Below are 25,622 nucleotides of genomic sequence, written 5' to 3'. Positions count from 1 at the left end.
AATAAAAATGTGAGAATTTTAAGGAGGGAGTATCAATTCTAACAAGTAAGATTACTAAAAAGCCAATTAGATTTAACTTTTAAAAGCTCTTTGGCAGTACCCTTTTCAAAAGAACCATTTTTGAGGTGTAATGTGAGCTGTTGATGTGATTGGTATATCTGGTGTCCAAATATGGAGGAACAAATCTACCAAGATCCTACGTAACTCTTTTGTAACTGCAGAAGCTACATGCACAGGGTCAGGGAAAATGGTCTTGACTTCTGATTACATGTGCCCACTCTTTTACAGAATTGTCAAAACCTAAGGGTAATGTGTGAGAAAAACTGCGGTCTTCTTATCTGCTCCTTGTGGAAATACTTAGTTTGTACTGAAATCCCTGATAAGTTCTTCTGGATGCATTCTGAAACAAAAGTCTGGCAGCAGTAACTGGAACCAGATTGTCCAAAGCACATACATCCCAACTCCCTCCAACATGGAATCATAACACAGCCACATTTCGAGAGTTTCAAGTTTCAATTGGAAGTAGTCTACAGACGAGCAGTTTGGAGAAGCTGACATCTTTTATATAATGTTATGGAGAAAAATATAAGGTGATATGCTAAGTATACCAAGTCTCTGTGTTCTGGGACACTTTGTTTTAGTGCAATTCCCTTTTCATGACCTCTTCTAATATCTCTACTTTTACTGTTTTCTTTTGAATTTCATCCCTAAAGAAAATATTATTAGAACACATTTCTAACATAGGTATTTTTGACAACTATATATGATTTTCTTTTAAGAGAATTAGCTACCTATTCTAAAGTATGTCTGGTATTCTATTAATCTTTAATGCTAAACTTCTTTATATCTTTAGCACAGTGACAGTGTAAGTGATGCTGGTCCTTTAAGATTTTAAGTTTCTTTTAAGTTTTCAAACTTTAAGTGTCTTTTAAATTTTCAAATTAAGTTAAGACACTTAAGGTGTCTTTTAAATTTTCAAACTTGACACAGTTTTAATGTAAAACACTTTTCTGGTGTTATATTTCTTCGAATATTGGTAATCTGTTACTTAGCTGGAATATTTGGTCGGTTGGATTACCACACCTTTAACCATCTATATATAACTTTCTTGATTTTTTTTTTTTTTTTGAGATTGAGTCTTTTGCTGTTTCCCAGGCTGGAGTGCAATAGTGTGATCATAGCTCACTGCAGCCTCAAACTTCTGGGTTCAAGTGGTCCTCTTACTTCAGCCTCCTAAGTCGCTGAGACTGCTACAAGCATATGCCACCACACCAAGCTAACTTTTTTATTTTTTATTTTTTAGAGACAAGGGTCTCTCTCTGTTGCCCAGGCCAGTCTCAAACTTTTGGCTTCAAGTGATCCTCCTGCCTCAGCCTCCCAAAGTGCTGGAATTATAGTCATGAGCCATCGTGCTGGTCCATAACTTCCTTTATTCCCCAAAATGAGTTTAAAGTCCTATTGGCCCTTACTTTAACAGATGATTTTAGTTTTAATAGATATTTTTAGTTTTATAAGAACTTAAGAAAAAAGATTAGAAACAAATTAAATGAGCTCTATGATTGATAGTACAGTATTATAACCAATGGCTACATATATTTCTATAATTATCACAATGACCTGAATGATGCAAATTTTTTACATATGTTTTTATTAATATATATATATATATATTTTGAGACTGTGTCTCACTCTGTTGCCCAGGCTGGAGTGCAGTGGCGTGATCTTGGCTCACTGCAACCTCTGCCTCCTGGGTTGAAGTGCTTCTCCTGCCTCAGCCTCCCTAGTAGCTGGGACTACAGGCGTGCACCACCACGCCCAGCTAATTTTTATATTTTTAGTAGAGATGGGGTTTCACCATGTTAGCCAGGATGGTCTCCATCTCCTGACCTTGTGATCCGCCCGCCCCAGCCTCCCAAAGTGTTTGGATTACAGGCATGAGCCACCGCCCCCAGCCTACTAATACATTTTAGAGACAGGGTCTCACTCTGTTTCCCAGGCTGGAGTGCAATGGTTATTCACAGGCACAATCTCCACTGCAACCTTGAACTTTTGATCTCAAGCAATCTTCCTGCCTCAGCCGTTGGAGTAGTTGGGACTACAGGTGTGTGTCATTGTGCCTGGCCTGATCCCCAATTATTATAAAAGAAACCTTGGAGAGTTGAAGACAATTGGCTGTGATCTTTTTGTTTCTCTTCTAGAAGCTTTCATACTATGGGGTATATTTTTAATCATCCATATTCTCAATTTTTTATTCTGGTTAAAATAGGATTGCTGCTTGTTTTTCATTTTTTTGGCATAATTATTTCTATTCCTTTATGGATTTATTCATGCGGAAATACAGGAATCTCAAAGGCAACTGTTAAGGAAAACAGATTAGGGAAAGGTATTCTATAAACAGCCTTCTGATTGTAGTCACAGGTCACATCACCTTAAAGAAAACTAATTTCATGTAATGCCACTGTGTCAGAGTTTCCCAAGACCACCTCTGTGTTTGGTGATTCACTTGTAAGGACTCAGCAAACAGTCCTACTCTGGGCTTTGATTTGTTACTGTGAAAGAATACAAAGTAAAATTGGCTCAGGGCAAAGGGGCATGTGGCAAGTCTTGGGGAAGCCAGGCACAAGCTTCCAGGAGCCCTCTTCTGTGAAGTTACCAGGATGTGCTGAATTCCTGTAGCTTTGAATTTTGACAGCACATGGGCAGTATTGTCTACCAATATGAGTCTGACAAGACAGTATCCAAGGTTTTTATGGAAGCTAGTTACATAAGCATTCTCTCTCACACATATACAAAAATTCCACACTTCCAGAAGAAAAGCAGCTGTTCAGAGTCAACCACATTGTTTATGCAAACAGTTTAGGTACAGTGAGCTACTTTTCTCAGGAAATGGTGACAAACCTTTAAAATGCAAATTTCCAAACACCAGCGAAGGGCCAGTTTTGCATGTAGGCATTTCTAAGAATGACAGTCTTATGACTGTTATATGAATTATTTTCTTCACAGCAGTTACAGCCCCAACTTAATTTTAGTGTCTTAAAAATTCTATTTAATAGTGAATAACATGGTGATATAACATAGCATGGTGCTTATTTCATTTGCGTCAGTTGCAACTTAATATGAAATACTAAGTTTCTGTGCTGTTAGATTTTGAAATTTTGGTGAATATTTAACAGGTTTCTATACAGAAGTTACTATGGTAATATTAGGTAATTATAATCTGTTCTTATTCAATTAACCTTTCAGTAAAATAGATAAAATAAATAATGATTTCTGGTTTAAAATTAAAATAAAAAATTTGTTTCATTTTAATTATATAGGTTTCAGTTTTGTTTTATATTTTGTTAAATTTCTGTTTATAATTATGAAATTTAAAAAATCAATCATTTATCCATTATTTTCTTCCCTGTTAATATAGTTATTTGCTTTATGTACTTTTATATACTACAATTCTGGAGAGAATATTCATATTGTGTTTCAAATTGAGTACATCTTGCTATAATATATGGCAATATATTATAGCAATATATTAGTAATAGAAGATGCAGTGAAAATCTTTTAAAAAAATTAATAACTTTATTTTAAGAGCAGTTTTATATTCCCAGCAATATTGAAAAGAACCTAAAGAGATTTTTCATATATGCCATCCCCCCTCACATGCATAGCTCCCCCCATTATGAATATCTCCCACCTGAGTGGTACATTTGTTACAACTGAGAAGCTTACATTGCTGGATCATAATAATCACCCAAAGTCCATAGTTTATATCTTAGTTCCCTTTTGGTATTGTACCTTCTATATAGTTGGACAAATGTATAATAAATGTACCTGCCACTAGAATACTTTCGCTGCCCTGAAATTCGTCTCTCTTTTTTTATTCCTCCCTCCCAACTAACCCCTGTCAACTACTAATATTTTTGCTGTCTCCATAGTTTTGATATGTCCAGCATAGTCATATATTAAGGATAATATAGTGGATATCTTTTTCAATATTACAAAACATAAATTTCCAAGATAATTGAATGTATTCAATTAAGCTATCCATTGTGCTTTTTTGCTTTTAGTTTATTAATGTAGGATTTAATGGCATATGCTTTACATGTTGAAAAAGCATAATTTATATAGACATTTGCCACATAATGAGGAGGGTTGAGGAAAATGGCTTCATGCTGTATACTACACAGCAATAACTGGATCATCCTTCTCTGTGAGATGGGTCCAGATAGACTAGAAGTGGAAAGGGACAATCTCAAGAGGCTGTACTTTATAAAACTGGAGTCAGAAAGTCTTTCCTATTTACCTTGCAGTTGGAAATAAGACCAGCTAGTGAATACTATAGGCATACAAATATGTTTCTTATTGACCTTCTTTCTTTGAGGGATCAGTTTGAAAACAGTCTATATTATTATAACATGACTCACTTATAACTAGGTTCTCCATCATGAAAAATGCCAAGAGAGTCATACTATTTTTGTTTACCTAAAGTGACAAAGATTTGTTGTTGTTGTTGTTTTTCACACTAGGTAGTGGGACAACTGTTGGCACATCTTGGTAGCTCCAGTGAGTTTATGGTTCCTTTATATATATTTTATATATTAGAAAGTCCTCCCTGGCAACTTGCCATACCTCCCTGGCGTTTCTTCATAAGCTTCTCTCTGAAAAGGAGACAAGACTCAGATTGGATAAGCTTTTAAGGGAGTGCTATTTCCTCTGTGTGTGTTTTTTTGAAGGAGCTAAAATGAAAGCTGAATTTAAGCATTGTTTGTGCCCTACATAGGGTGAATGAATAGCTAGAACTAAGCAAACTTACCAGAATCTTCCCTAGGAGAGGATTAGTGAAGGTAAGGATACTGATCTCTCTTAGGCTCTTCTGCACTGGCAGCTGAAAAGTCTTTGCAGGGATCCTTGACCCTGGTCTGTATGCTGTGTTTTGCCATAGAATAGAGTACAGTTTTCATAGACCTAGATTTTTTGTATTAGAGTGCTTTATCCTGAATAGTTTAAACTGAAGAAGTGGAGAAACTTGTGTTTCAACAAAATAAGTACAGTAATTTCCTCTTATACATGGGGGATACATTTCAAGACCCTTAGTGAATGCCTGAAAACATGGATAGTGCTGAACTCTATGCATACAATAATTTTTAAAAATACATATATATCTATAATAAAATTTAATGCATAAATTAGGCACAATAAGAGATTAATAATATCTAATGGTAAAGTGGATCAATTGTAACAATATACTGTAATAAAAGTTAAGTGAATGTGAGCTCACAAAATATCATGTACTATAGTCACCCTACTTTCTGCACTGATGTGAGATGATAAAATGGCTATGTGATAAGTGAGGCAAATGCAGTAGGCATTGCCATGTAGTCTTGGGCTATTATTGACCTTCTATTTGACTATATGTCAGAAAGAAGAACATCTGCTTCACGTGATCTTGGATCCGTGAGCCATGATGATGTTGTTGGTTGGATGTTAGGTACAGATTATGTCAATGACTAGTGAGCAGATATCATATATAATGTGCATGCACTTGACAAAGGGATGATTCACATCTTGGGCAGACTGGGATGTAATGGCTCAAATTTTATCATACTACTCAGAATCTTATGCAATTTAAACCTTATGATGTATATACATCTGGAATTTTATTTATGGACCATGGTTGACCGTGGGTAACTGAATCTGCAGTCAATAAAACCACCAATGTCATATTATGAAATATATATTTGGTCTTCAACCCCATTTTCTGTCATACAACTCCTAAAATCCTCAGAACTTCCCACATGATATCATTTGTATGCTAATGATTGACTTATGGCAGGCAGCCTCCAGATGGCTTCAGGGTGGGGCTCATCATCAGAGTGATCAGGGTGTGATTAGAGGGTTGGGGCTTCCAGCCCCACCCCTCACCACCTGGGATGTGAGAGGGGCTGAATGTTCAATTAATCAGTCATGCCTATGTAAGGAAGCTTTCATAAAATCCCAAAAGGATTGGATTTGGAGAGCATCCAGGTAGCTGTATTCAGCTACCTGGATGCTCTCATTCAATACATGAAGGCATATGGAGAATACATGGATGTTCCCAGAGGGTGAGTGCCCTGGGAGGACATGGAAGCGTGTTACTTTCCCCCCATATCTTGCACTATGCATCTCTTTATCTGTATCCTTTAATATTCTTTATAAGAAACTGGTAAATGTGTTTCCATGAGTTCTCTGAGCCACTCTAGTAAATTGATCAAACCAAAGAGGGGGTCCTGGGAAACCCAACTTGAAGTCCAACTGGAAGTTGATTAGAAGTTCTGGAGGCCCAGACTTGTAACTGCTGTGGGGGAATAGCCTTGTGGTACTGAGCCCTCAACCTGTAGATAATCCCCAAGTAGATAGTGTCAGAATTAGAGGGCACCCATCGGAATTGATTGTTTGCTTGTTGCTGGGGAAAAATACATATTTGGTCACAGAAATCTTCTGTGTTGATGATTGTTGTTGCGGTGTGAGAGAAGGGGAACATCATGTTGAATATGTGTTTTCTACACATACAGCAGATAAGGGGGACTGCTGTTCTAGCTGCACCTGGTTCATTTGTCCAGAAATCATGTTCTTTGACAATGCCTGCTCATTATATTGATTCTACTAATGATGCCATTTTCTGTCAGTCTGATATAATTCTGTTAGAATTATGACTATTTTATACCGCAATTCACATGTAAGGTAACAAATTTTGATAATATATTCTTCTTTGCATTTGATAAGTATATGCTAAGCATGTAAGAAAGGAAATAAGAGTTCTTAACTCATTAGTTGCCTACAAATAGTATAAATAATAATTTTAGTATAGCCTCCAAGTATGTTTCTAAAGCACTGCTTTGTAACAAATCATGAGAGTCTCTGTAATAAAGCATCAAAGTCTTATAATATTTTTCCTACAAGGTCTAAGGCATGTACAAAAGTTCATGATTTGTTTTTTCTTTTGAGATGAAGTCTCACTCTGTCACCCAGGCTGGAGTGGAATGGCACAATCTCGGCTCACTGCAACCTCTGCCTCCTGGGTTCAAGCGATTCTCCTGTCTCAGCCTCCCGAGTAGCTGGGATTACATACATGTGCCACCACACTTGGCTAATTTTTTTTTGTATTTTTGTTGAGATGGGGTTTCACCATGTTTGGCCAGGCTGGTCTCAAACTTTTGACCTCACGTGATCCACCCGCCTTGGCCTCCCAAAATGCTGAGATCACAGGCATGAGCCACTGTGCCCAGCCTGCATGATTTTTTTTTTAGTAAAGAGTCTTGCTATGTTGCCCAGGCTGTTCTCAAACTCCTGGGCTTCTCAAGTGATACTTCTGCCTCAGCCTTCTGAGTAGCTGAGATTATAGGGACAAGCCACTGTACATACACACACACACACACACACACACACACACACACGCACCAAATATATGCCCAGTAATGGGATTACTGGCTCAAATGGTATTTCCGGTTCTAGATCCTTGAGGAATCACCACACTGCCTTCCACAATGGTTGAACTAATTGACACTCCCACCAACAGTGTAAAAGCATTCCTATTTCTCCACATCTGCTCCAGCATCTGTTGTTTCCTGACCTTTTAACGATTGCCATTCTAAATGGCGTGAGATGGTATCTCATTGTGGTTTTGATTTGCATTTCTCTAATGATCAGTGATGATGAGCTTTTTTTCAGATGTTTGTTGGCTGCGTAAATGTATTCTTTTGAGAAGTGTCTGTTCATATCCTTTGCCCACTTTTTGATGAGATTGTTCTTTTCTTGTAAATTTGTTTAAGTTCCTTGTAGATTCTAGATATTAGGCCTTTGTCAGATGGACAGATTGCAAACATTTCCTCCCATTCTGTAGGTTGCCTGTTCACTCTGATCATAGTATTGGAAGTTCTGGCCAGGGTAATCAGGCAAGAGAAAGAAATAAACGGTATTCAAATAGGAAGAAAGGAAGTCAAATTGTCTCTGTTTGCAGATGACATGATTGTATATTTAGAAAACCAAATTGTCTCAGCCCCAAATCTCCTTCAGCTGATAAGCAACTTCCTCATAGTCTCAGGATACAAAGTCAATGTGCAAAATTCACAAGCGTTCCTATACACCAGTAATAGAGCACTAAATCATGAGTGAACTCCCATACACAATTGCTACAAAGAGAATAAAATAGCAAGGAATACAACTCACAAGGGATTTGAAGGACCTCTTTAAGGAGAACTACAAACCACCACTCAAGGAAATAAGAGGACACAAACAAATGGAAAAACATTCCATGCTCATGGATAGGAAGAATCAATATCTTGAAAATGGCCATACTTCCCAAAGTAATTTGCAAGTTCAATGCTATACCCATCAAGCTACCATTGACTTTCTTCACAGAATTAGAAAAAACTACTTTAAATTTCATATGGAACCAAAAAAAGAGCCCATATAGCCAAGACAATCCTAAGCAAAAAGAACAAAGCTAGAGGCATCATGCTACCTGACTTCAAACTATACTACAAGGCTACAGTAATGAAAACAGCATGGTAGTGGTACCAAAAGAGATATATAGACCAATGGAACAGAACAGAGGCCTCAGAAATAATGCTATACATCTACACCATCTGATCTTTGACAAACCTGACAAAAGCAATGGGGAAAGGATTCCGTATTTAATAAATGGTGTTGGGAAAACTGGCTAGCCTTATGCAGGAAACTGAAACTGGACCCCTTCCTTACACTTTATACAAAAATTAACTCAAGATGCATTAAAGACTTAAAAGTAAGTTCTAAATGTGTAAAAACCCTGGATGAAAACCTAGGCAGTACCATTCAGGACATAGGCATGGGCAAATACTTCATGACTAAAACACTAAAAGCAATGGCAACAAAAGCCCAAATTGAAAAATGGGATCTAATTAAACTAAAGAACTTGTGTGCAGCTTTATTTGGGAGTGTGCGTGGGGTACCTCTGAGTTTTAAAAATGAAGAAAGTAAGTAGTCGTGCTTTCCTGACTCTTTGGTAGACATAGCCTTTTAAGACAGTCATTCTGAGCTGTCATGGTCTTAGGGTTTTCTATACTACTAAAACTTATTGACGACATCTAACCAAGAACTTAATTTTTTTTAAAAAAAGAAAAAGAAATCACCCAAATACACATTAAAAACCTGTTATAACATATGTGCACATTCATAGATAACATGTAGAACGTGATTTTGTGTATTAAAACCTTGTAGAAAAGTTCAGACAGTGCACACAATGACTGCAACTTGGTCTTTGTAAAATCAGTGATATATATTTCAGATCTATCCATGTTGACCCAGTGAGGTATTCGATTTATTGTATGATCTAATGATATGCCATGTGATGACTGCAGCATATTTAATTATGCTCTCTTCATGCTGATACCATATGGACATAAATATGATGAGATACCAGCATGGATATGCTTATGTGGTTGCTTTTAATGACTTGTACTATATTAGAAATGAAACAGAAGTATTGGAAATCCTAGCAAGCATAGCTGTATGTCTCCCATGGCTGTGTTGATTGCAACTGTTTCCCCCTTAAAGCATGTCTTTTTGACATGTCATGATCCTGAGAAAATCCAGTGTGTGCTTTTCAGAGAATGACAGTAAGGAGAGGAAATGGCCAATGGTCAAAGTGTTACTTGTCCTCTTGACTCCCCCTCATGAATTTTAAACTCTAAACTACTCAGGTCACAATTTAGAACCCCTTTGTTGATCCCTATAGAGTGTTCCCGGATGTCAAATGACAAATAGGCTTTTGAAGAAAAAACACCCTGTAAAGCCGTATTGCTCTGGTTTTTGTGTGTGAATGTGTGTGTGTGTGTGTGTGTATTTTTTTCTCTTCTGAAAACTGTAAATAGAATAATTTTCATTACAAATGAAAATATTTCTGTTCCATATTTATTTCCTGTCTCATGGCACTCTTCTCTTCTTGGATCTAGTAAGGATCTCAGCATGTCTTATTTATACCTGCAAAAAATTACATCATTCTTCATTTTTCATGTCAATTACTGACATGTTTTCAAGTCTTCACAAGTTATTTCTGAAGATGTTGGTGCATTGAGGAGAGGCAGTGTCATTGTAGTTAAAGAAGTTTTTAAATAGGTTATGTTCAATAACATTTCAGAGCCCGTTTCTCTGGAATGCATAGACATAGTGGTTTTATGTGTAGTTAAACATAAAATAGCTCCACAAAGTCTTGTGTACGTGAAAGTGTTCATATCCTGGAAGATTCTAATTTACTACTCAGTACTGTCTCCTGGAGAGGAAAATAGGTAAGAAAGGCTGCTAAGCCTATGATAATAACTCATGATATGAGGTGAAAGCATAGAGACAAAATGAGAGATGATAGATACTCAAACCGATGTGAGTGAAGAACAGCTGTGAAAGAGTGTCTATGGGAGAGAGAAGGCCATGGGGCTGCTTTTGTGAAGAAGGAATTTGTACACGTTAGTCAAGTGTCTGATACATTTAACATTTTAATAAAGCAAAACCTTATCTTCACATGTGTCAGAATGGGATTGTACAGATGTCACAATACAGTAGTGGTGAGAATAATGAAGAAATGAATGTGGAGGGCAAAGAATGAAGTCCACCAATATGGATATTAGATTTATGAATGAAAAGGAGTGTATGTCAAATTGGGCAGAACAAAGAAAGTGGCTAGCTAGGTAATTTGGGGGTTTCTGATGAGGAGACTTGTGGGGAGTCACTTAATGGAAAGCGGAAGTTAGAAGGATGAGGGTGACCCCCAGGGTTTCATTTCTCCTCCCTAGAAGTTTTACACATCAATGATATGTGCTTCGTTCACATCAGTTAGCATATTGGGATGCAGCTTAATCTAGAAAAAGTGTTTTTTTTTTCTTTAGGAAAGGTGTGTTTGCTGAGGTAGTTATTTCATAAAAGGACCTGAGAGACCCCTATGGTATATTATTTCAAACTAGCTTTAGAAACAAAGTAATAAAAGAATGTATATCTTGAGTACTAAAAAAACTACCAATATTCTTGGCAATCATGACACACACACACACACACACACACACACATATATGTACGTATGTATATATTTTGTTGGTTACTAATAAGAAAAGAAGTCTCTTGTAATTTAGAGATTTTGTTTACCTTATTTACATGGGAATCTGATTATGCATGATTTCTTTGACATGTATGTTTTTGCAAAAGTGGAAAAAGAGATGGCAAAAGAGCTGAACTGCTGAATCTGGGAAATGTAGGAATCTTAGGAGCCTTCATGAGTACAAAGAAAATGATTTTTTAAATTATGACTCTAAGTATAACTGAACTCACTTCAGATGCATTTAGAATATTTGCATAAAAGATGATTTGATTTTGGCTGCTCCAGAAACTACTGGAAGAAGGAAAGAGTACTAGAATTCAGATAAACCACAGTGACTCGTTACTTCTCTTTGTTACTATTGGGAATCAGAGACATAGATTTTGTTGATATTAGTTATTCAAATGAAATAAACATGAATGTGCATACATTGGCTTTGTTTTTCAAGGAGCTAACTTTTGGATACAATAGCAATTTAATAAAAATTCCTTAGAGAATAACATGATACTTCAAACCAGACTATTTTAGAAACAAGAATAATGTTGAATTCATTAATTGATTCATAAAATGGTTATTTTCAATGAATATTGGAGTCATTTCCAAATGTGAAAGCTTATTAATATCTAATGCTTGTAGCAGTTTTATTTTGTAGAAGTATGTCAATATTGATAAATGATGATACTTTTTATTGAGGTTTACATATTATACCTTATTGCCGTGAGTAGATGAAAAAACTTTCAGAAGGCTGAACTACAGAACACAAGAAACTTGGGCAATAATTACACCACATGGGTCTGAGAAATAATGAATACTGTCTACTAGGATTCACCAAACATACATCCAAGCTGATCAATTTAGGACGCTTCCACTGAGGAGATGTGAAGTGTACATTCAGCTGAAGTGTCATCATAATTGTGTGCCTTCTCAGTTATTGGGCCAGTTAAAGAGCATGATGAATGATTGTAGTATAATGGTGTATTTCCTTCTCATCTCTTGCACTAAAGACATGTGAGAGCACGTACCACCTGCTTTGACATTGATTCCCAGGTGCATGAGTTGCTCCTCTGTTTTTAGACCACATTTGTTTTTATCCCTCCGCATATCCACATTGATACTAACACTGTTTCATTTTAGTTTTAGACATGTGACAAATCATATCATGTTTGAAATTGTAAGTGTATATTTCATGAAGCCTGTATTGGTGTTTTCTTCAGTGTATTTCTGTCATGTTCCAGTCCCAAGACATAAAGTATAAAACTTAAAAACCTAAACTAATAGGGGCAGGAGGATACAGCTTGATGGTAACAGTGCATGAATGTATGGATAATTTTATCATATTTACATATGACTGATTATGTATCCCTTTTGCTTTTCAGTGTGTTCTCAGAAACAACCAGCCTTGAAGGTAATTACACATTCATTTCTGTTTTGAACTATTAACTATATAGTCTGTGAAATACACTTTATGTATTGATTATTTTGTCTCAAATTCCATTCAGGCTACAAGTGACAAGAAAGATTCTGTTTCGAATATAGCCACAGAAATAAATGATGGACAAAAATCTGGGACAGGTAATTTTGCAATACACATTTAATGTCATGTTCACTCAGGATAGAAGAGAACTTCTCTTCCCTGAATAAATCGCAGGGGGCTCATTGAATCTGCACATTCTGATTCAGCAGGCCTGAGATTCTGCTTTTGTAATAAGTTCTCAGGTGACACTGATGTTACTGTTCCTTGGCCATGATCTGAGTAGTAAGATTATATTCTTCCCCACAGTGAAATTGGCAAGAATGATTGGAGAGCAGTGCAAGATATAATAGGCTAAGGGACAGCATATTCTTGCTTTAATTCTACAGCCTGTTTCCATTGTAAAGGGAAGGAGAAAGAGATTAAGTAATAAAAATTATAGGCATCAGATCATATTGTTAAAACCACATGGAAGAAGTGATTGGAATAACCCATAAACAATGTAGAAAGAGAACTAAGGAGACGTCTGATGTGGTAATTATTTTACTCAAGGAAGAGGGATTGAGAGGCAAGAAGGAGGGAAAAGGAGATGTTATTTATGTAATTTTGGGGTTTCTGCTGCAGAAACCTGATGGGACTCAACTTCAGATGCATTTGGAATATTTGCATAAAAGAAGATTAGATTTTGGCTGCTCCAGGAACTACTGGAAGCAGGATAGAGTGCTAGAATTGTGATGACACACAGTGACTCATTACCCCTCTTTGTTACTGTTGGGCATCAGAGATATATGTTTTCTTGGTATTAGCTATTCGAATAGGATAATCATGAATATGCATACATTGGCTTTGTTTTTCAAGGAACTAACTTTTGGATAAAATAGCAATTTAATGAAAATACTTTAGAGAATAACATGATCCTTCAAACCAGATATTTTAGAAACAAAAATAATGTTGAATTCATTAATTGACTCCTAAAGTGGTTATTTTCAATGAATATCAGAGCAATTTCCAAATGGAAACGCTTATTCATATCTAATGCTTTTAGTAACATTATTTTGTATAAGTATGCCAAATTTGATGGTTTATACTTTTTGATGAGGTTTATGTATTATACCTTCTTGCCATGAGTGGATGAAGAAACTTTCTGAAGGCTAAACTAGAGGATACGAGAAATGTAGGCACATTATGACACCACAGGGGTGTGAGAAATAAAGAATATTATATGCTAGGATTCACCAAACATATATTTAAGCTGATCAATTAGGGACACTTCCACAGAGCACTTGAGAAGTGTACATTCAACTAAAGTGCCATTATCATTGTGTACCTGCTCAATTGTCAGGCAAGTTTAAGAGCATGATAAATATTTGTAGTATAACGGTATAAATCCCTCTGATGTCTTACATGAAAAACATGCAGGAGCATTAGTCACCTGCTTTGACATTGATTCCCAAGTGTATGAGTTGCTGCTCTGATTTTAGATCACATTTTTCCTCATCACTCGGCATATCCACATTGATATAGACACTGTTTTATTGTAGTAACAGACATATGAAGAATAATATCACCTATGAAATTGGAAGTGTTTGTTTTGTGAAGACTATACTTCTGTTTTCTACAGTGTAATTCTGTCATGTTCCTGTCCCAATACACAAAGTAGAAAACATCAAAGCCTACGCTAATTCAGGCAGGAGGATACAGCTTGATGCTAACACTGCATGAAAGTATGAATAACTTTATCATATTTACATACGAGTGATTATGTATCCCTTTTGGTTTTCAGTGTCTTCTCAGAAACAACCGGCCTTGAAGGTATTACACTCTTCATTCATATTTTGAATTATTAACTGTATAGTCTATGAAATATACTGTATGTATTGATTATTTTGTTTGAAATCCCATTCAGGATACAAGTGACAAGAAAGATTCTGTTTCGAACATAGCCACAGAACTAAAAGATGAACAAAAATCTGGGACAGATAATTTTGCAATACACATTTAATGTCATGTACATTCAAGATAGAGGAGAACTTCCCTTCCCCAAATAAATCAGCAGGGGGCTCATTGAAGCTGCTCATTCTGATTCAGCAGGCCTGAGATTCTGCATTTGTAATAAGTTCTGGAGTGATGGTGATTCTGCTGATTTTTGGCCATGATCTGAATAGTAAGATTATAGACTTCCCTACATTGAAATTGGGAAGAAGAACCATTGGAGAGCAGTTCAAGACATAACAGGCTGAGAGGACAGCATAATTTTCCTTTAATTCTACAGCATGTTTCCATCAAGAGGGGAAGGAGAACAAGATGAAGTACTAGAAATTATAGGCGCCAGATCACACTGCTAAAACCAGAGGGAGGAAGTGATCATAATAATCCATAAACACTATAGAACGAGAAGTAACGAGACCGCTGATGTAGTAATTATTTTCCTCAGGGAAGAGGGATTGTGAGGCAGGAAGAAGGAAAAAGAAGTTATTTATATAATTTTTGGGGTTTCTGCTGAGGAAACCTGAGGGAACTCACTTCAGATGCTTTTAGAATGTTTGCATGAAGGAAGATTTGATTTTGGCTGCTCCAGGAACTACTGGAAGCAGGATAGAGTGCTAGTGCTAGAATTGTGATAAACCACAGTCACCTGTTACCCCTCTTTGTCATTATTGGGCATCAGAGATATATGTTTTGTTGTTATCAGTTAGTCAAATGAGATAAATGTAAATATGCATACACTGGCTTTGTTGTTCAGAGAGCAAACTTTTGGATAAAATAGCAATTTAATGAAAATACTTTAGAGAATAACATGATCTTTCAAACCAGACTTATTTTAGAAACAAAAATAATGTTAAATTCTTTAATTGACTCCTAAAATATATTTTTTTAATGAATATTGGAGTGATTTCCAAATGGACAACGTTATTCATATCTAATGCTTGTAGCAACTTTATTGTGTGTAAGTATATCAAATTTGATAATTTTTTATACATTTTGATTAGGTTTGTATATTATACCTTGTTCCCATGAGTGACTGACAAAACTTTCTGAAGGTTAAACCAGAAAATACCAAAGTGCAAGCTCATTATTATACCACATGGGTATGAAAAATAATGAATACCATATAATAGGATTCACCAAACATATATCCAAGCTGACCAATTCAGGACACTTCCACTGAGGAGCTTTGAAGTGTGCATTCATCTAAAGTGTAATAATTGTCATTGTGTACCTGCTCAATTTTCAGGCAAGTCAAAGAGCATGATGAATATTTGTAGTATAATGGTTTAAATCCTTCTGATGTCTTGTATGAAAGACATGCGTGATCCTGGCTCACTTCAACTTTCACCTTCTGGGTTCAAGTGATTCTCCTGTCTGAGTCTCCTGAGTAGCTGAGTTAACAGGTGTGCACCACCAACCTGGTAATTTTTGTATTTTTACTAGAGACCGGCTTTCACCATGTTGGCCAGGTTGGTCTCAAACTCCTGACCTCAAGTGATCCACCCACCTCGGCCTCACAAAGTGCTGGGATTACAGGCATGACCCACCGAGCCCTGCCTACATGATTTTTTTTTAAAATTTTTTTAACTTTTTAAAAATAAAGATAGAGTGTTTCTGTGTTGCCCAAGCTGGTCTGAAACACCTGGGCTTCTCAAGTGATACTTCTGCCTGAACCTTTTGAGTAGCTGAGATTATAGGAAAAAGTCACTGTGCTCTTTTATGTTTTTAATATTTTATAGGTTCCTATTGATTTAAAATGCATTTTACTTGTTGTTTAATAGTGCTTCCTGCTGTTGAACAGTGTTTAAACAGGTATGATTTCATAGATTTTTTAAAGTGATATGTTAACTTAGTGAATAGAGAGAATAGAAACTAGTATCCATTTAGTGTTCTACTCTGTGCTAGACACCATATTACATGCTTAATATTTATCATGTCATGTCATCTCCACACAGCTTTACAAACTATTTGTGCTATTATTGCTTTTTTACTAATTAGGGAACTCTGCTTTAAAGAGGTTGAAATATTGGCTCATGATTCCACAGTTAACAGGTAGCCAACCCATGATTTGGCCATCATCCTGCCTGGCTCTCAAATCACTTCATTTGCCCCTAAGCATAGATGGATACAGACCTATGCAGCAATGTGATCACGGTACTGGTTTAACTCAGATCAATTCAGAAAGTCACATTTTGTTATATATTAACTCTCTTTAGAGTGTTCCTTAGAAGCATGGATACTCCAAAAGTTTGTCCAAGTATTTTGGAAATGGCAGTGGTAACCATATTACATTTTTTTTAACCATCAAAATTTTAAAGGCAGATATCAGTTACCTGTGTCCACAGGACCCTAAGTTTTTCATAAGCAAGACCAGTCCAGTCCTTGAAAAATATTACCTTACTGTGCATGGAGATTATCTAAATATAGACCATGTTATGTTAACTATATTTAGCACATATTAAAAGGATATTTCTAATTCATTTCTCTACTTACTGCCTGCCCAGTTAGGTTTTCTCTTTAAGTGAGTACCCTGCCTAGTTCGCTGTAGCTTTTTCTTATTTTCTGGATTCTTCTTTTTTCCTTCTATGACATTTTAGTATTTTCTTGATTTCTTTTCACTTTCTCTACTGCTTTTCTTAGGGTTTAAGAACTTCTTTTATAGTTTTCATGTATGGCAGCTAAATATTCCCCATTTTCTTACAGACACAATCAGAGGTGCATAGAATTTCAGAATGTTAAGAAATCCTAGAGACTAAACAAAATATCCTCTAGTACTTGAATCCTTGCTTAACATCCTGATGAAGTGGTTGTTCAGGTGGAGAACCTGAAACTTAAAGAGAGAAAATTATTTGGATACAGTAAATCAGAGAAATGAGAATTGCACTCAGATTTCTTAGTTCAAAACCCAGTCTTCTTTTACATCATTCTGTCATTGAGAGATTTTAGTTTTAGGAAGAGGGAGTGGCTCTAGTGAACACAGTGGAAGAGGATGAGAATGGAATGAGCTGTTGAACCCAATGAAAGTGGATAAGAATGGAATTTGCAGGGGACAGCCAAATTTGAAGAGAAACAAACTCTTAGTTGGATAGAAATGAAGGTTTTAGGAAAAAATCTGAATATTTGGTTTAATGCAAGTTTGATAAAGATAAGGGAATTGAAAACACAGGATGTTGGGAGCTATCAAGAAAGGCATATTAGAATACGGCATTCAAGGAGTTCTGAAGAGGTTGCTGCCTTTTTGTTTGTTTAACTGGAGGAACTGACAAACTTCAAGGTTTTATTGAAAAATGTTAAAAGAATTTGAGCCACTGGAAAGAGTCTCTGGAGCAGATAGGAATGTGGTGTCATCCTCTTCCATCCCAGCTTACAGAGGACTTAGAATCCCTCAAGGACTAGGGAGCTGGAGATTGCTTAAGTACATAGATCTATGACCCAGAGTGGATGTCTCTTTTTTTCTGACTCTTTTCTCAATTCTCTCATGTACATGTAGGGTAGGGCAAATGTAGGATTGGCCGGCAAAACGGCAATGAAGCTTCATTTGGGTAGTTGGTAACATGCATATGCTTGGGGTGGATGACTGAGACTAACTTACTTTCCAGAAGCAGAGGAATAGAGAGATCCTACTCTCAATTATGTTAGCCCATCTTTTGAGGAATCTGGGCTTTCCTAGGCTGAAGATGTAGATTGGAGATTGCCACAGATCCCTGCAGAAGAGGGATCCAGAAGTGGGAGCCCATAGGAAGGAAGATATTTAGATAGTGATGAATGAAATGAAACTACAAGTACTTAGGAGGGAGACTTTTCCAGCAGTCTCTCTCTTGGGTATCTGAGTGTCTATGAAGGTTCTTAAGCTTACTGGTTTTTGTGGATTTGAATAAGGCAGGATCTATATAATGACAATAATTGGATTTTAAAATTTTTAATGTTTTAATCTTCTGTGAAGAATATTCCCAATAACAACCTAACAACCTATACATTTGTACTTTGACTTTTGCACACTCAGCTTTCAAACATTTGCGGTGTTTCAGGGGGCTCCCTGTAGTGTTCTAGGGTGAAGAGAATCAATGGGCCCTCTTTAAGTAGCTTACATGCTGAAGATCCAAGACTCCCATTTTCCCGTGACACAGATTAGTCTTTGAATCAGAAATAGATAATGCAGAAGAGACAGTGCCTTTTCTACCTTGTTTTAGGTTATCAGGTTTACTCCAGTTCAGTAACAAAAGTTGTGTCAGATATCAACTGGATTTTCAGTTTAGCCTTTAGGGTAGATAATTTATAAGGACAAATTATTGTCTGGCCGTGCCGTTATAATGCCTGTCACTATTTGTTACGGGTTTAAGGGTGAGTCTGCATTGGATATTTCATAGGTTGGGAGAGGTGGAGGCAGAAATAGGTAACTGAAATGTTTTCTAAAATGGAAGCCATATCTTAATTATACCAAGAAATATTATTTAATATGCAGATAACTGAGTTTCCTCAGACTTTGTTTTACCATTTATTTTGGAGGGGACATGCATGTATAAACTGATGGTTTTTGTTTTCTTTTAAGAAATGAACGTGCTCATTTTTGTTGTATCTTTTTGCTCTGTAGGAGTCTCTACAGACCGGATGCTGTTGCACAGCCTGTGACAGAGGATGAGTTTGCTTTGGAATCTGAGGTAGAGTACTCTCTTGTGAAATTAATTTTCTCACTCTGAATCTCATTTTTTGTATTATTTTCTTCTAAAACTTAGCAGTTGTCTACCTATCATTGTTTTATGTTAGTATTAAAACTTTTATTAGAGATAACCATTTTAAAGAAATGGGAGGGGTTAATTTTAATTTTTTTTTACTTTGGCAAATAATAAATAGTTGATAAATTCTTTGAGAGGTGTGATCTGAAAAAAAATTTGCTGGAAAATACACAGTGACAGAAAAATGGTGTTCGGGAACGCTTTCCCACAATAGAGGAGATACAAATTTTGGTCTAGGCTTATTTGAGTGTTTTTACTTTGAGTTGTATATCATATGAGTGTGACTAATAATACCTCTGTTTAAATGAATCTTTAATACATCAGATGACTTATCATAGAAATCATGGAATCACTCTGTTACACATAGCATGTGGTTTCTTTTTATTTCTTGTACACATATTTTGATATCATACACTATTTTTGCAGAGAGCTATTTCCTTATTTTTATTCATGGCTCTATAATTAGACTAAAATAATATTAGAAATTGTGGAAATTTAACTAGACATGGTATCATGTCCATGTAGTCCCACCTATTCAAGAGATGAAGCCAGGAGAATTTCTTGAGCCCAGGAGTTTAAGACCAAGCTTGGCAATATAACAAGAGCTTATCTCTAATTTCAAAAAGTCGTGGAAGTTTAGAAATTTAAATTCTGTTCTCAAATCTGTATTAGAGAAGGTTTACACAGTGTTTTCCAAGCCTTTTTTATTTAGAGTATACTTTAAACTCTTTATTTAATTGAAAAATATGCATTTTGTTTAAAATAACCTGTTTGATAAACAGATACTCTTCATATTCCTATGGTCAGACTTTAATTTCACAAGGTTTTTGCATTGTAATTAAAAGGAATCCACTCAGGGTCTTTGTATCTCATTCTAAATTTCAAATTTCAGAGGCTTTTGTGCTTAGTTATTGAAAAAATAATTGTAAAGCTCCTGCATTACTACGAGCCACTTGAAACTAGAAAACCTATTTGTATGTATCCTGGAATACACAGAATAAGGTCTTGCATGTAAGAAGCATTTTAGTAGTTTTTCATGTAAATCAACAAACAAGGAAATGGGTTTTTTTTATAATGGAATGTTACAGGTAACATAATATGCATGACATATCTAATAATTCTAGTTCAAAACCCAGTCTTCTTTTACATCATTCTGTCATTGAGTGATTTTAGTTTTAGAAAGAGGGAGTGGCTCTAGTGAACACAGTGGAAAAGGATGAGAATGGAATAATGAGCTGTTGAACCCAATGAAAGTGGATAAGAATGGAATTTGCAGGGGACAGACAAATTTGAAGATGTAGATTGGAGATTGCCATGGATCCCTGCAGAAGAGGGATCCAGAAGGGGGAGCCCATAGGAAGGAAGATATTTAGATAGTGATGAATGAAATTAAGCTGTAAGTACTCAGGAGGGAGACTTTTCCAGCAGTCTGTCTCTTGAGTATCTGAGTGTCTATGAAGGTTCTTAAGCTTGCTGGTTTTTGTGGACCTGAATAAGGCAGGATCTATATAATGACATTAATTGGATTTTATAATTTTTAATGTTTTAATCTTCTGTGAAGAATATTCCAAAAGTACATTTGTACTTTGACTTTTTTTACACTCAGCTTTCAAACATTTGCAGTGTTTCAGGGGGCTCCCTGTAGAGTTCTAGAGTAAAGAGAATCGATGGGCAATCTAAGTAGCTTACATGCTGAAGATCCAAGACTCCCCTTTTCCCGTGACACAGATTAGTCTTTGAATCAGAAATAGATAACGCAGAAGAGACAGTGCCTTTTCTACCTTGTTTTAGGTTATCAGGTTTACTGCAGTTCAGTAACAAAAGTTGTGTCAGATATCAATTGGATTTTCAGTTTAGTCTTTAGGGTAGATAATTTATAAAGACAAATTATTGTCTGGCCATGCTGTTATAATGCCTGTCACTATTTGTTACGGGTTTAAGGGTGAGTCTGCACTGGATATTTCATAGGTTGGGAGAGGTGGAGGCAGAAATAGGTAACTGAAATGTTTTCTAATACAGAAGCCATATCTTAATTATACCAAGAAATATTATTTAATATAAGGATAACTGACCTTCCTCAGACTTTGTTTTACCATTTTTTTTTGGAGGGGACATGCATGTATAGACTGATGGTTTTTGTTTTAAAAAATGAGCGTGCTCATTTTTGTCATATCTTTTTGCTCTGTAGGTGTCGCTACCTACTGGATAATGTTGCACAGCCTGTGACAAAGGATAAGTTTGCTTTGGAATCTGAGGTAGAGTACTCTCTTGTGAAATTAATTTTCTCACTCTGAATCTCATTTTTTGTATTATTTTCTTCTAAAACTTAGCAATTGTCTACCTATCATTGTTTTATGTTAGTATTAAAACTTTTATTAGAGATAACTATTTTAAAGAAATAGGAGGGGTTAATTTTAATTTTTTTACTTTGTAAATAAGAAATAGTTGATAAATACTTTGAGAGGTGTGATCTGAAAAAAAAATTGTTGGAAAATACATAGTGACAGAAAAATGTTGTTTGGGAACGCTTTCCCACAATAGAGGAGATACAAATTTTGGTCTAGGCTTATCTGAGTAAGTGTTTTTACTTTGAGTTGTATATCATATGAGTATGACTAATAATACCTCTGTTTAAATGAATGTTTGTTACATCAGATGACTTATTATGGGAATCATGGAATCACCCTGTTACACATAGCATATAGGTTCTTTTTATTTCTTGTACACCTATTTTAACATCATACAGTATTTTTGCAGAGAGCTATTTCTTTATTTTTATTCTTGGTTCTATATAATTAGACTAAAATAATATTAGAAATTGTGGAAATTTAACTAGACATGGTACCATGTGCCTGTAGTCCCACCTATTCAAGAGATCAAGCCAGGAGAATTTCTTGATCCCAGGAGTTTAAGACCAAGCTTGGCAATATAGCAAGAGCTTATCTCTAATTTAAAAAAGTTGTGGAATATTAGAAATTTAAATTCTGTTCTCACACCTGTATTAGAGAGGGTTTACACTGTGTTTTCCAAGTCTTTTTTATTAAGAGTATACTGTAAAATCTTTATCTAATCTAAGAATATGCATTTTGTTTAAAATAACAACCTGTTTGATAAGCAGAGACTCTTCATATTTCTGTGGTCAGACTTTAATTTCACAAGGTTTTTGCATTGTAATTAAAAAAAATCCACTCAGGGTCTTTGTATCTCATTCTAAATTTCAAATTTCAGAGGCTTTTGTGCTTAGTTATTGAAAAAATAATTGTAAAGCTCCTGCATTACTACGAGCCACTTGAAGCTAGAAAACCTATTTGTATGTATCTTGAGTACCCAGAATAAGGTCTTGCATGTAAGAAACATTTTAATAGTTTTTAATGTGAATCAACAAACAGGGAAATGGGCTTTTTTTTAATGGAATGTTACAGGTAACATAATATGCATAAGATATCTAATAATTAAATCTATTAAATGTCTTGAATGTTCTGAATTTATCTTTTCTTCTAATGTTGAGAATCTATAAGTTGAGGTGAGTTATGCTGAGAAAATATGTCATAGAATAAAATGAAAATTGGAAAAGATGGAAAGGAAATAGGAAAGGTGGATACAGCGTGTCTTCTAATATCTTCCAACTGGAAGCTTAGATTAGGATTTTAGATTAAATTTTCAAAGCCCCAACCATGTTCTATTAAATACATATTTTTCAGGGCATACATTACTCTTTTGAATTCTGAATAAAAATTCTTTCTCCAGGTGTTAAGTTGCTGGAATTCTATTGTGTTTTTTATTCCTCTCTCTGTCTCTCTCTCTCTCTCTCTCTCTCTTTGTAGTAAGAATGTTTCAGCTTTCAGGTGAATGATCATGTTTAACTCTTGGGATGTGTTATTTTATAGTAAACAAACTAAACTTTTTATTACATAAGTATTTACACAAAACAAATTGTTGAGTAAATGCTAACCAGCATTATTAGGCATATATTATGAACACAAGCTTTTCTTTTAAGCTCATATTTGATTGACTGGTCATGTCTCTTTTTTTGTTTGTTTCTCCCTCCTTCCCCTTTGTTTAAGAATGATTTACCTCAGTCTAACTTTTTCCTTGCAGACCACATGTCTTTAGTGTCTATTCTTTTGTTTCACCTCTGTTTCTGTTGTCAGGATACTTAGTTACAGCTTTCTATTTAGTAGCTATGTGTGGCCTTCATTCGTGAATCATTGCTCCATAAGGTGGATGGTTGCTTTGTTCTGTCTTTTTTGGAAGGAGCTGAAGTTATACAATAATTTGCTTTTAGCTTTTGACACACAGAATAGAAGCAACTTATACCGATTGCGATGATAGCCCATTTAAATATAGTACTACTAAAAACTACATTCTCACATTTTTTCCCACAGAAAGTAATTCACACAAATATATATCATGCATAAATATTTTGAAAACTAAAGTGATTAATTGACTTTTTATTGTTAGTTTTGTTCAATATTACTCTAAATTACATATGAGTAAATTTTTGTCCCAGTTTGTTGTGGTTAATAAAAGAAACTGATAGATATCATAGTATTTGTATAATAATCAACTGGGGTTGAAAGGAGTAACATTTTGAGAATATCTGTATCACCAATCATAATCATCATCTCATGTGAATATGTAAATAAGTAAATGGCAGACTTGAGGTTTGGATCTACATATGAGTGACTTCAAAGTCTATCCTTTTTGTGTTAGATCGTGTAGTAATGGTGGCAATTATCATTATTTTAACTTGCTGCATGTTATTCTTAAACCTATTGACTTTCTTCTAGAGCATTTCAGAACCATACTTTAAGAACAGAGGACTATTTCTCAACAATCTGCAGAAAAGTGTAAGCTATTTGAAACCTGACTATTGTATTATCTACTGATTCTTTTTTTTTTCTTTTTCTTTCTTATTTTTTGTAGACAGAGTGTTACTCACTGTTGCCCAGGCTGGAGTGCAGTGGCATGATCTTGGCTCACTGCAACTTCCACCTCCTGGGTTCAAGTGATTCTCCTGCCTCAGCCTCCCGAGTAGCTGGGATTACAGGTGTGCACCACCACACCTGGCTATTTTTGTACTTTTGGTAGAGATGGAATTTCACCATGTTGGCCAGGCTGGTCTTGAACACCTGACCTCGTATGATCTGCCTGCGTCGGCCCCCCAAAGTGCTGGGATTAAAAGTTGTGAGCCCCCACACCCGGTTCTTATTTATTGATTCTTAATTACACGCATTTCATCTACTCTTGACTTTGTTTTTACTGTAGTAGATGCTGCATGTGGCATTGAAAAAACAGAAAATGAAACCTTGTTTGAAGACCAAAATGTTGATAAGGTAAATGAAGATATGGTTAAAAGCCAACATAGAATAATCAGAGTCCAGTCCTGTTCACCAACTCACTCTTATCTGTTAATGATCTCTAGTTTTACAATGGTAAATTGTTTTATTTGGAAAATATTTTTCCCATGCTTTATTCACTTGCCATCTCCCTGTCTTTATAACGATGACAAGGATCCTATAAAGGAATGGAAGTTCTCCAGGTAATAATAGAAAAGAAGTGTAACAGCAAGGGAAATATACGCATGGGACTAGGATTCCTAAAAGGTCGTAGGAGTAAATGATTGTTAGGTTTGCCATTAGGGAAGGAAAGAAGTAGAAAGCAACCTGAAAGAACAGCTCCACAAATACAAAGGTGAGGAGGGGAAAGAAGTAAGAATACAGAGTTGAATAAGAGTGTCAAGATGACAAAGATTAGTATAAAACACCTCAAAAATGGTGAATTTAAATGACAGTAGAATGTCTCCATATCATATTATAGAATTATTTTAAATATAGATTAGGAAAAGAAAGCCAAGTAATTAAAAAAATGCTCAGATTCTTCTGAGTGACTTACGGGTGATTTTAATAAAGGATTGGAAGAAAATTTATGGGTGACTATATTTAACATTCTGTTTTACATTTAAAAACGGCCAGGAGAGAATAACTTGAATATTTCTAGTTTAAATAAAACATACATATTTAAGGTAATGTGTCTCTCTGTTACCCTCATTAGATTATATAGATGGATCAAATCATCACACGTACACTGAAAATATATGCATCTATTTATTAATTTAAAAATTCTAAATGGAAAGAAAATTTAATCCTCACTTTTTAAAATTTCAGTAAAGTGGTGTCTCATATTTTATCTAGTGAATGCCGTGTTCATAGATAATGCAAAGTAAAATGTGTTTTAGGCTATATCAGATTTTGAATGAATCATTAATTTTTGACTCTTGTTAAAAGTTTTTTAAAGTAATATTTGGTATATTCCTAAGTTGCTTAACTAATTT

The 25,622-nt window shown here is 35.4% G+C and overlaps 1 long non-coding RNA gene across 1 annotated transcript; it reads left to right on the top strand.

Moving 5' to 3' along the window:
- Positions 1 to 334: 334 nt before the first annotated feature.
- Positions 335 to 24,615, top strand: LOC102723869 (uncharacterized). Its single transcript, XR_001756146.1, has 8 exons — positions 335 to 590; positions 12,472 to 12,500; positions 12,595 to 12,667; positions 16,337 to 16,367; positions 19,147 to 19,213; positions 21,477 to 21,543; positions 24,079 to 24,138; positions 24,557 to 24,615. It is a non-coding gene; the product is annotated as an uncharacterized LOC102723869 (long non-coding RNA).
- Positions 24,616 to 25,622: the final 1,007 nt, after the last annotated feature.

The sequence above is a fragment of the Homo sapiens genome (genome assembly GCF_000001405.40).
Source record: "Homo sapiens chromosome 16 unlocalized genomic scaffold, GRCh38.p14 Primary Assembly HSCHR16_RANDOM_CTG1".
Lineage (NCBI taxonomy): Eukaryota > Metazoa > Chordata > Mammalia > Primates > Hominidae > Homo > Homo sapiens.
Note: the sequence above shows the minus strand (reverse complement) of the source record. Positions and strands in the feature narration are given on the sequence as shown.